This window comes from Homo sapiens, chromosome 9, assembly GCF_000001405.40.
Source record: "Homo sapiens chromosome 9, GRCh38.p14 Primary Assembly".
NCBI classification, from domain to species: domain Eukaryota; kingdom Metazoa; phylum Chordata; class Mammalia; order Primates; family Hominidae; genus Homo; species Homo sapiens.
In genome coordinates, this window is record NC_000009.12 from 115,231,667 (window position 1) to 115,244,713 (window position 13,047).

Below are 13,047 nucleotides of genomic sequence, written 5' to 3' on the forward strand. Positions count from 1 at the left end.
CTGAGGGAGGAAGATTTTCAGTTAAGCTCTAGTTTCCGAAGCTATCTCTGTCACTGCTGTCACTGGTGTGCTTCTAAAGCAGAACTCTAACTTCCATCTGTAAAATTTTCTATAGCATCCATTGCCGTTGGGTTGAAGTCGAAATCCTTGTCACTGCACCCAAGTCCCTTCAGGCAGAGGGCAGCCAACATCTTCAGGACCATCCCTAGCACCCATTTCCTCAGAATTTCTTCTCCAGCTGAAATGAATGATTCTTTCCTTCCTTCCTTCCTTCCTTCCTTCCTTCCTTCCTTCCTCCCTCCCTCCTTTCCTCCCTCCCTTCCTTCCTTTTTCCCTCCCTTTCCCTCCTCTTTTCTGCCCTTCCTCCCCACTCATGTCCCCTCCCCTCTCCTCCCCTCCCCTCCTCTCCCCTCCTCTCCCCTCCTCTCCCCTCCCCTTCCATCCCCTCCCTTCCCCTCCCCTTCCTTCTCTCCTTCTCTCCTCTCCTTTCCTTCCTTTCCTTACCTTCTTTCCTTTCTCTTCTTCCATCCCTCCTTTCTTTTCTTTTTTTCTTTGTTTCTTCCTTCCTACCTACCTTCCTTTCTTCCCTTTTTCTTCACATAGATTATGTCTTCTCTCATCTGGAGCCTTTGCAAATATTGCTTGTTTTATGCTTTCACAAGAACATGAGTGATTTTTAAATATGTAAATCTGACCACAACTCTCTCCTGCTAAACCCTGAATGGCTCCACATCATAGTTAGAATAAAATTCAAACATCTCACCCTCCCTATGTGGCCTTATGGAAGCTGGCCTTGCCTTCCTTCTTCACACAGTTTTATGTCCTCTTTGGCCTCCCTGTAACAGCCATAGTCACCTTCTTTTTGTGCCAAGAACCTGCTACACCTGCTCTGAAAGTCAGAATTTCATGCTAGCACTTCTCTTTGTCTGCAGGTTATTGGTTCCCATCACTGCCTGGCTGGTTTCTTTTCCTCTCTGGTTTCAACTGAAAAGGAACTTCCTTAGAGAGGACTTTTTTGTCCACAGAATCTCAAGTAGCTTATTTCCCCTGAAGTCTGCTTTATTTCCTTCATGGCACAAATAACTTGTTGATATTTTGTTAATAATTTATTTTTGGTCAGCTGGCTGAAGAGTTGACACTATAAGATCAAAAATCTTGTCTATCTCATTCAAGACTCTATCCCCAGTGTCTCAAACAGTTGTTCCTAGAACATACTAGGTACTTAGGACTTGTTTGTTGAATGAATTAATGAATTAATTAATGAACAAATGCTTGAACATCTATTACTCAGCTTTTCCTTTCTTTCACATGAATAACTTCTATGTATCTTTTAGCTGCTTATTTAAACATCACTTCCTCCTGGAAGCCTTTCCGGACCCTGGAGGATGAGCTAGATGATCCTCACCTGTGTTCCCTTAGCAGCCAAATAGATGACGGGATTGGGGAGATTAATTGCACCTGTAAAATGATAGGCCTGGATGAGATAACAATCACTCTTATCTCTCCCAGCCCTGAACACTCTGCGGCTTCTCTGAGAAACCCTATCGAAGGGGATGTGGAATCCCAGAGCTACTCTTGCTATCAACTCGCCGCATGACCTTGGGAAAATCATTTCACCTGGTTCAGCAATGATTTACTGAGCTATTGAAGGCCTTACTTTCCAGATCCAGGTAAGATTGATGATGCTGAAGTCTTATTTCCTCTCAACTTCTCGTTTTCCCCTTGACGATATTCTTTTCAGGAGCAAAAACTGTAACCTGTACATTGTTACATTCCTGGTGCTTAGCTCAGTTGTGAGCAGTTGAGTGATTTTAGAAACTCAGAATAAATTATTTATTCTCTTGCTAAAAATATGACGTGCTTTCTAGGTAGTCACTGTACTGGCCTCTATGTTAAATTCTCTCAAGGAGGAGAATGGAGAACCATTAATCAAATGCCTACTAAGTGTTAGTGTTTTACACAAATATTCTTCTTGTATTCTCACAAAAGGCCTTAATAGGAGTAAACGCTGACTCCATTTTATAAACGTAGGAATTGAGGCTCAGAGGATAATTATCTGGTCGAGCTAGAAAATAGGAGTAGTGTCCTAACTCTACAATTTCTGCTCTTTCCACTAAACCACGGCTGTACTCCCAATGGTAGGGAATGAACAACAGGGCTCTCCTAATAATTTTATTAGCCATTCTCAAATTAATAGCTCCTCTGCTGGCCCCTCAGAAAGGGGGCTTCATTTAGAAGTCTAGCCTCACAAGTAAGAACAACTCTGGTTCCAGGTACCTATTGGGAAGTGGCTGATTGAAGCCAGTGTCACTCCTTGTCAGGCCCCAATTGGCTTGCCCCTTCCAGTAGGTCACTCAACGTCTGACCCCAGCAGTGTTTTCTAGCAACTCTATTCTGCCCATAGATAAGGGAAATAAATGGAGAGGCATTCATAGCTGGCTGGTGATGATTTGTTTGTTGAAAGAAAGGGTATTGGATGCAATTCTGAGTGTACTGGTGCCAGGTTCTTTCCTCCTTGGCATTTAGGTAACTGCCAGGGCTTGTGTCTGATCTTCATATTCTCCAGTCTAGGCAGGAACCAGCTTGGTCAGGTTGTTCCCTCTGCTGCTTGACACCCTGCTTGACCTCTGCTGACTCATCTACCACCCTCTCTTAGCATCCTCATAAGTTACTAATGGAGTTCAGGGGGAAGAACAGCTGCCAGAAATATGTGGGCAAATGAAAGTCCTACATTTTAAAGACAAGTTAAAGCTGAACTGTTCCGGATAAACCAGCAGCTTTGTCTTCCTGTCGGTCCTCTCTAAATACTCAGTGTAAAAACTGCTGCCTTAGTGAGAACTCTTCCTCACTCTGGAAGGAGCTTTCTCTCCTTCCACAGAGTCTCGCCCTTGGATAGTTACACGTAGTCGTCCTTTCTTTTTCATTGTTGATGGGGACAGATGTCAGAGAACCGGGGTACAAGTCAAGACACCCGACTGGAGGACCTACTCTAGTTACCAACTCGTGGCATAACCTTGGGAAAGTCATTTCATCTCTTTCAACATTGATTTACTGAGCCATTGAGTGGTTCAAATATGTAGTGGTACGCATTGTAATCTTAAGACGTTTCTGACTCTCTCTCTCTTTTTCTTTTTTCCTTGGGAAGGTTCTTGCTCTGTCACCCAGGCTGGAGTGCAGTGGCATGACCATGGCTCACTGCAACCTTCACCTTTCCTGCTCTTGAACTCCTGGGCTCAAGCAATCCTTCCACCTTGAGCTCCCAAAGTGCTGAGATTACAGGTGTGAGCCACTGCGCCCAGCTGACTTTTTAATTTTGCTATTTTAAAGCTATATGAAAAGACAGAGAAAAGTGCCCACAGTATATTAAGTAGGAAAAGCAAGTTGCAGTATAGTCATTAGAATATCATACATTTGTTCAAATGCATGTTTTCATATCATGTATTGTTTTCATAATTTAAAATAACTACCAATACATCATAAGCAATCTTTAGTAAGTTTATCATTTGATTGCTCAATTTATTCCAAAGCCTGTATGACTGTCTATTTAATATTAGATGTTTGAGACACAGAAAACACAAAAAAACTCATTGTCCTAGAGGAGCCTAAAGTTTATAGAATTTATGAGGACTTATGTTTCATTTCTAAAAGATTTTGGGAAGTTTTTCTGTTGAGGTTGGGCTGCCTCTGTGTCTGATAACTAGGAAGAACACCAACAGCTCCTTTTCTACAAGAGGTGTATTGTTCCCATTCTCTTCAGTGCCACATCCTTGCTTTAGTGCTTCCACTGACCTTGTGCTTCCTGAACTCCTACGTAACCTTAGTTTGTGTCAGTAATGTAGTACTTAACAATACAGCATCTTCTCTCCTTAGCCCACCTCCTCACCATCAGCTCACCTCCTCACCATCCTTTCTTTCCCTAGCCCACCCCAATCAGTTTCTGTCTGCTCTGTTCCACTGAAAATTTTCTTGTTAAGGTTACAATGTTGAAGATGTTTTGCTAAAAAAAACCAAAAGGCCAAAATCCATGCTTGCAACAATTCCAAGAAATTGGTGAATTGCTGAGGATGCTGCCTTTCATTCTCTGGTCCCTGCTTACACCTGCAGTCTCACCTCCACTTTGCAGCTTTATTGTGTCTTTCTCACCACCAAACCTTCATTCATGCTGCTCTCTCCCTGCCTGGAATGCCCAGCTTCTTCATCTCCAATTAGAAAATTCTCGCTCACTTTTGCAGTAAATGCCTTTCTGTTTTATTTCTCCCAAGCCTTTTTTTTTTTTTTCCAGTTTAGGTATCATCTATTTCTTCTTTCCAGAGGACCCTAATTTCTCTTTGGGGAATTTTATCTCCCCTATTGTTGGCAGGGATACCCTGCTGATCTTTAATCTAACTCATTTGGTACAGTCGTAGAATGGGCATTGACCCATGCTAGGCCAACTGGGCTTTTTCCCAGGAGAATGCATAAAATGTATGGATTCATTCATTTCAGCAGGCCATCTGGGTCCAGATATCAGGCCATTTTTGCCTCCAACACCGTCTAGTGTTACCTCTTTTCTATTTCAAGTCTCTTTTTTCGACATTGTCTCGTGGCCCTCAGAGCTGACCCTCCGAGCTTGTTCATAAGCTCCCAACACATGGCTTTTTTTCAAGTTATCCAAAGTTGGTTTCTGCTCCTTGCAATTGAACAACAATAACAACAACAAGAACAAGAAAAGACTGATACATTCTTCTAGACTCAGATAAGGGAATACCTTCTCTGCAACTTTTTCAGGCTTCCTCTTTTGTCCCTTCATTGGCCTCTAGTTGCTCTAATAGATTCCTCCACTGTGGCATTATAACTGACCTCTTCTCTCCTAATTATAGTCTCCTTTTGGGGGTTAGAGATCATGTCTCATTCCAAGTTTTGTTCCTAGAGCCTAAGACATCTTTATCTTGCTGGGGCCCGGATCACATTCATTCAGGAGTGAATGAAGAACCTGAAATTTTGTACCTATGGGGTTAGTATATTCTTTCTTGTTGACAGAGATAGCAACCTAATAGGATAGTTTTCTCTTTTTAGGAGCTAAAATTTTATTTCTGTGTAATTATCCTTGTAAGAGATTTGACAAGACCTCACTAAAGGTATGAATGTCCTGTTCCAGCAGGTTCTAGTCAGGAACATGGAAAGCAAATCAGAAATTTCAAATAGAGGGGATTTAGTATAGGGAATAGACCGCATGTATTTTAGAAAGTTGATGTAGCAAACGGGATGTTGAGGTAATCCAGACATCAGTAACTGCAGGAAGTGGCTGCTTCTGTCAGACAGGGAGAAAAAGGAGAGAAAGGTGGTGTTATGAGAACTTACACAAGTGCAAAGGAGAAACCCTGCATGGCTGAGCCTCATACTTCTGGAAGGTTCCTGTGTCTTGTGACTGGTGCTTCAGCCTCTGAGTGGGGGCACCCTGTGGCCAGGCTTAGACATCTTAAAGAGTGCTCAAAGACTGGAACTCAGGCCTCAGGGAGGGCAAATGCTTGCCAGTGCTAAGAATTCGGAGATGGGAACTGAAAACTTGAGTTCAGACTTGGTGAGCCGCTCGTGTTGGTCTCTAATGAGGAATCCTGTGGCAGGTGCTGGGAGTGCGTAAGGAAGCTAAAGAACGGAACCATAGCTTTCTTTTCCTCTGGAAGCATCTAACAGGGTCTGAAATAGGAAGAGAGTCCTCTTCATCCTGCCAGCTTCTAGTCTCCTGTCAATGTCCCCTGTTGCAGGGCTCGAATGGGAAGTGGGCTGGCAAGGAGTCTGGGAAGTGTAGTTTTCAGAATCTCAGCTTCGGTGTCACTGAGCGTGGATGGGGGTGGGAAACTTTGAGGCTGAGAGACACTGGGTAAATAACAGACATATGCTCTTCCAGGAAAAAAAAAAAAAAAAGTAGACTTGGCCTCCAAGGCCATGTGATGAAATACAGTCTCCTTGTTTTGTAACCTGTTTCCAACATGATTCCCAATAACTCTCGAGTAAGAAATTACAGCTTGGGATAGGACTTCTGTGGAAAAACCCTGGTGCCAGTGTAAAAAGTGCCTCCAAAGTCAAAGCATTCCTGTTAGTCCCGACACATAGAGCCCATGATTTATTGTAATTTTTACTTAATTCTGCCTCCTTCTGTAGGCCCTGGTTCCAAGAACGTCTTTTGGGCCCGATGCCTCCATGGCTCAGATACTTGGGAACAGCAATTTGCCATAATGTCTGCTGCTCCTCAGGCCTCCCTGCCAACCCCCTGGCTGTGTGCAGCCAGCCACACCCTATTCCTCCAGATTGCATTGCTCCATGTGTTTTTTCTTCCTTGGAAACAGAATGCCATGTCTTAACCTATCCCATCAGCAGACTCTATTTCTTTTTTTCTTCATTTTTCACTACTTTTTGCTCATCCCTTAATTCTGATGCTTGGCCTATGTCCCTGGATTTTTTTTTTTTTTAATAACGATAATGCTCTTTTCCTAGAATCTTACTATATAAAGAGCATCTTGTAATAACAGTGACAGTGAAATTTTTTGGCTCCACGAAGCTTTAGATTACTCAAGAGCTTTTAAAAATCTACAACTTCACTGATTCAATATTGGGGGGAAACAGGTCATTTGGATTCAATTAATGATATTTAAATCCTGAATCTAATTTAATTAGACCACCTTTATCTACTTAATTCCTCTGAGCCTTAGTTTCCTCTACTTTAATAGAGGGCTAAGACCTACCTCTGAAGATTGCTAGGAGGATTAACATAAGCTCTGTGCTACATCTGGCACATAGTAGGACAGAATAATCTTAGTTCTCTTTCTTCAAGTGAGAGTGGGTGTGGTGCTCTTATGCATATGGAGAAAGGAGGCCATATAAATCTGTCCTGAGCTGTATAATGGATTTCACAATAAGAACAATGAGAAATATCTGAGCAATGCTATTTGGAGGATAATTTTTTTTTCTCTGTTCCTATAGAAAAATGGGAGTGATATTATCATCAGATGAATTTCAATTATGGACTGACTTCCCCAATGTAACTTTACCCCTGTACTTATCTATTATTTTTGTATGTGTGAGAGAGAAAATTCGGAACAAAAGCACCAGACTGGGACAATATGGCGCTGTTCCTAGGGAGAGAATGGTGGATTGTAAGACTTGAAAGTTAGTCTTGTGTCAGACTATGCAGATTCCTGAATGCCTGGCTAAGTAGTTTCCATTTTATTTCTTAGGCAATAGAAAGTTGAAACCAAAAAGGGTAAAATAAATAAATGAATAAATAAATAAAGAACCTTGTAAAATGAATTTGACATTTTATATAATAGCTCTTACTTGAGGAATGACAGGTAACAAGATTCAGAAAAATGTAAGATCCAAGGAGATTCATCTTTGGTGAGACCTTTTTTTTCTTTAAAGGACTTTAGGAAAGACATACTTAAAGTAAGTGCTAGTAGATGAGGTGTTCCTTTCATTTTATTTTCCATTTTTTCATTCACATAAATCATGACTTGTCATTGTTTGCTTCAAACACAGGAGAGATTTTACCTGTGGGTTTATTCTGTTAGAATTTGTCTATTTGTTGTAGAGCAGGATCATTGCTGCATTTGCTAACATTCTGGGTGAGGAGAAAGATGCATAAAGAGATCAGGGTAACCAACATGGTAAGCCTAATGACAACCACAGGCAGATATGAGTCCCTCAAGGGGGGAATTTAGGGCTTCAGGAAAAGCTTTCTGAAAACACGCACACAACAACAGAAAAAGATGAGCGAGCCAAGTCTTAGGGAATGAGGAGTCATCATCCATGTGGAGGAAGAACAGAGGGCACCACAATCCACATGGAGGAACAATCTGAGCAAGTGCACAGAGATAAGACACACCACACTACCTGAGGACACTACAAGCAATTTGTGATTCTGGAGGGTAGCAAAGCAGAGAGAGTGAGGAGAGAGGAGCTGAGGAGTAAGGCAGGACCAGGAGGAAGAAGTTCTTGTGTGCTCAGCCAAGAAGGTTACACTTTATCCTGCCAGTGATGTGGAGATGTTAAAGGTCTCTGAGCAGGTGAGTGACACTGTAGAATTTGTTTTATTCTGTTCTGGTGGCTGCATAAAAGAAGGAAAAAGATGATAGGAGAGAGACCAGATTGGAGGCATTGACAATAACCTATGTAGGCATGGGAGGCAAGGACTACTGGGGGCCACCATGGAGTATGAAACTAGGGTCTGTGGGAGTTGATGACTGAGTGAAACAGGGAGGTAAGACATACTGAATGACGATGAGTCTGGCCATGATGACTGGTGAACGAGGTTACCAACACCAAAACAAGGAACACAAAAGGAGGTTCCATTTGGGGAGAAAGACAATATGTTAGGCTTAGGAAAGGATGGGTTTGAGGTGCCTTGAGAATGTAGAAAACTATACTCCTAAATCAACAGGCAGTAATTGGTAGACCTTGGGTAACTCATTTTATCCTCTGAGCCTCAATGGACTCATCCTTTTAGAAGGACACAATAATATCTAGTTTCCAGGGAAAGATCAATTTGCCCAGTGAACTCAAAGGGTTGCTTTTATCAAACTCTTTTCATTAGCACCATCTTTACATTAATTTATAAGGAAGAAACAAACAAACTTCTCTTTCTAAAATTGACCACTTCTCCCTTCTGAGCCAAGGATGCTCTGTTAGTCATCTTAAGCTTCAGAAGTTTTTCTACCCTTTAGGACTGGCCTTTGAGCTTTATATGTGTCCATGTGTAATATTCTTTCTGTTTAGTCTTCATATCAAGGTGACAGGTTACAGCATGAAGGTCCTGGGGTGGATATATCCTTTTTGAGAATACATATCAACAAATTCAAAAGTCTGGAGAAGTAAAGGTGATTCAGAAAGTATTTTGAAATTTGTGAAAGTTTTCCAAATAATCTTCATATTTATTTATCCCATATCATATTTCCAAAAGTTGTAAAATGAATTTTACTGTTAAATATTTTGTCCTTCTTTTCCAAAATAATGATAAATAGCTTTCTCATCTCTGTAAAAGCCATCTATTTTGGACTCAAAGCTTCCTTGGACTCAAAGTTTCCTTTTTATTTATTTTTTCAGTGGCAGGACATGAAGGGGACAGAGCGAAAACCCTCAGCCCACATTTACTACTAGTAAGCCATGAAATAAACAAGTCCTGACCATCCTTACCACATGTTTTCTTGGAACAAAAGGGATGTGGGTATGACAGATCCAACTTTTGCTATGAACTGTGAACTAGCATATTTTTAACTTGGCTTCTGAGGTTGGTGAAGGAAACTTTCTTGTCCTTTGCTAATAAAATGCAGATGGTTCTTCTTCCAAAGTTCCTAAATCCCCAAAGTCTGAATCTCATCTTCTTCAAGGATAAGAATAGATTTGTAATTCAGTAAGCCTCAATGGGCATCATCACCATTCTTCCTTCCAGATAGCTTTTTAAAGTGCTTGACATATAATAAGTATTCACTAAATATGTATTGAATGAGTATATAAGAAGACATTGCCAGGCGCGGTGGGTCACGCCTGTAATCTCAGCACTTTGGGAGGCCGAGGTGGATGGATCATGAGGTCAGGAGCTCAAGACCACCCTGGCCAACACAGTGAAACCCCATTTCTACTAAAAATACAAAAAATTAGCTGGGCGTGGTGGCAGGCGACTGTAATCCCAACTACTCAGGAGGCTGTGGCAGGAGAATCACTTGAACCTGAAGCAGGGCGGAGGTTGCAGTGAGCGGAGATCACGCTACAGCACTCCAGCCTGGGCGACAGTGTGAGACTCGGTCTCAACAAGAAACAAAACAAACAAACAAAAAAAGCCACATTATCAGTAAGCTTAGAGTCTGAGCTCTTAGTGTAAATCCTGGCATTGCAGGCCATTATCAAGAATGGGAGAAATTACCGGGCACCATATTAGAAGAAAGACCTTGAAGTCAGTTAGGTCAGGATTAGGATCCTGGTTCCACCTGTCCTAGGCACATGTAGGGAGGAGTTGGGTCAAAAAACATAGCTGCTCTGAGACTCCATATGGTGTAGTGGTTAAACATCAGGGCTTTTAATTTGAATACTGGTTCTGTCATAAATTATCTAGAGGACCTTGGGCCATTTACTCAAACGTCTTTGTTTTTTGACCTTTAAGTGGAGAGAATAATTGTACCTATTGTTATAAGTTTGCTGTGAGGATTTATGAGTTAATATACACAAAGCACTTCAGTAGAGCATGGGACACAGTAAGGACTTTGTATGAGTTAACTATTATTCTGTTATTTTTATTCTACTACCTCGTGCTACTACAGAGTGCTACTCTGTGAGAATGTACACTTCTTTTCCTATGGACAGGTTCCATAGTTTTCAACATCATGATAGTGGTATTGAGGCAGTCATTTAACCTCAGCCACTTCGGGTTTTAGTTTTCAGACATGCCAATGAGACAATGCTTCCTATCCCTGCTGGATAGATAAAGCATAGGCTTTTTGTGAGGCGCAAATAAGATTGCAAATGTGAAAACACTTAGCTGACTCTCAAATGCTCTATAAATGTGAGTTTATTAGTTGGAACTCTTTCTACTACAAGTGACAAAAATTCAACTCAAATCAGCTTATGCCAAAAAAATAATTTATTGGTTCTTGCAGCTGGATTCTAGGGTAGCTCAAAGACTTGAAGGAAGAACTTTAAGAACTAGGACATTGGGAACCCAAATTGATGGCCATTGTAACTGGAATACACAGTTTATACCTATCTGTTATCTCTGATGGCTGCATTCTCCTCTACACAGCCCTCTTTGCACGTAATGAGGAAGATAGCACCAGAAACCTCGCTTCATATTACTTTAAGATTCCAAGCCAGCAATATATATATATAGCAATATATATATATAGCAATATATATATATATATAGCAATATATATATATATATGATTAATTTAATCTCCCTTCTAACCTTGGATTGATTGTTGGGTACATATTAAATGGAAAGGATTGTGGCCCAACTTTTTTAGCCCTTGGTCACAACTCTTTCCATTTAATATGCAAAGAGGAATATATTACCAGAAGAAGAAATAAAGAGGAAAAAAGGTACTGGGAAGATTTTTTTTAAAAATTACTCTCATAGATTATCACTACTAACATTGGTTTCTTTAACTTCTGTAGAGATGACTACAATGAACCTCTCTGTGTAAGTGAAAGACTAGATTAAATATACTCCAAGCCCTTGAGTGTTTTCAAATTTCTGGCCGAGACAGGTTATCAAAATATTGATCCCATTAGAAGTTGTCTTTGTAAAAGAGGAATCCTACCCACAGAGTGGTCTTAACCTTTGAACTATTGACCTTTTGGGCTGGAAAGTTCTTTGTTGTGGAGGACTGTCCTGCACATCCTAGGATATTTACAGCATTCCTGGCCTGAAGATGCCAGTAGTAACTTCTCCCTCTCTATGATAACCCAAAATGTTTTTAAACATTGACAATATCCCCTAAGGGACACGCCTTCCCACCCCTGCCTTTGAGAATAATTGTACTAGTGGAACACAGCTAAGCAGTAATTCATACTTCTCTATTCTCCACTCTTATTCCAAAATGATGGGTGTAATGCTGGCCAGCTAGACTGGTTTTATAACTTTTTAACCTTCCTTTGTTCCCTCTCTACACATTTCATTACACTGAACTACCCCACCAATGGACATTTGAAAGGTCATATTGTTGAAAAAGACTGCAGGGCACGTGACTCAGGATATTTTGGGTACTAGTCCTTCTTCTGCCACTGACTTGGGGTGTGTAGCTGGGCATCTCTTTCCTCTCTGGGCCTTGGATTTCCATATTGGCAAAAACTGAAAGATGTCCTGTAATTTTTCGTGTTACTCTAGCATTTATGATACAATTGGATGAGATATGAACTATGAAATGGGAAATCACCCTACATATTTCATTAGTTGAATAGTTTGTGATTAAGAGTCTAAGTTTCTCACAAGCATCTCTTTTGTTTCTTGGAAGTTAAGATCGCACCTGGTTGCTTGGGATGTACAGGGAGTCTGGGCAAAAGCAAGGATAGGTGTATTAGTCTCTTATCATGCTGCTAATAAAGACATACTTAAGACTGGGTAATTTATAAAGGAAAGGAGGTTTAATTGACTCACAGTTCAGCATGGCTGGGAGGCCTCAGGAAACTTACAATCATGGCTGAAGGGGAAGCAAACACATCCTTCTTCACATGGTGGCAGGAAGAGAAGTGAGTGAGTAAAAGGGAGAAAAGCCCCTTATAACCCCATCAGACCTTGTGAGAACTCATTATCATGAGAATGTCATGGAGGGTAACCACCTCCATGATAAAATTACCTTCTATTGGTTCCTTCCATGACATGTGGAGATTATGGAAACTACAATTCAAGATGAGATTTGGGTGGGGACACAGCCAAACAATATCAATGTGCTTATAGCAGGGTCTTTGCTGCTACTTGATGTTTTGTCTCTGAAGATTCCATCTGTGGCTAGAAAAAACAGTATGAAGTGGAAAACCATTCACTGATACTGAAGCATAATGTATGAGGGGCTGGAATAGTAAGAAATACAGTAGAGGACTGTGCAGGGCCTTGGATGCCAGGGTAATGGACACAACACTGATACCCAAAGAGGGGGGTAAGGTAGAATGCATAATGGAACAAATATCCATGTAACTGGGTGAATTATTTCTCATCTTTATGTTTAAAGTTCAGAAAGATGGTAGAGTAGAATTAGCCAGATGCATTTTGGAGTAGATAATAGTTTGCTGCCTCTTTATTTTTCCCATCAAAATTAAATGGCTTCCAATATTCACATAATTGAGAAAACTGAGGCTCAAAAAGGAGGAGTTTACAACTCCACAGTGATCACATTGTGAGTTAGTGGCAGAGTGGAGACAGCCAGCCAGGCCTCAGAACACCCTCCTCTTGCCTTATATAATTAATTCAATAAAAGGAGACACATTGATGCTGGTTTTTCCATCTTGCTTTCCTATACCTCCCCATTCTTGGGAGGGTTTTTCACTAAGATTTCAGTATTATTGTTGCCATTTACTCCTAGC

General features: G+C 41.0%; 1 long non-coding RNA gene across 1 annotated transcript in view; it reads left to right on the top strand.

Annotated features, from left to right (window-relative positions):
• DELEC1 (deleted in esophageal cancer 1) overlaps positions 1-13,047 on the top strand; it is a 260,827-nt gene that overhangs the window by 89,849 nt on the left and 157,931 nt on the right. Inside the window, exon 2 of the long non-coding RNA NR_163556.2 lies at positions 1,510-1,670. This is a non-coding gene — a long non-coding RNA (deleted in esophageal cancer 1). The remainder of the gene's footprint in view (positions 1-1,509; positions 1,671-13,047) is intronic.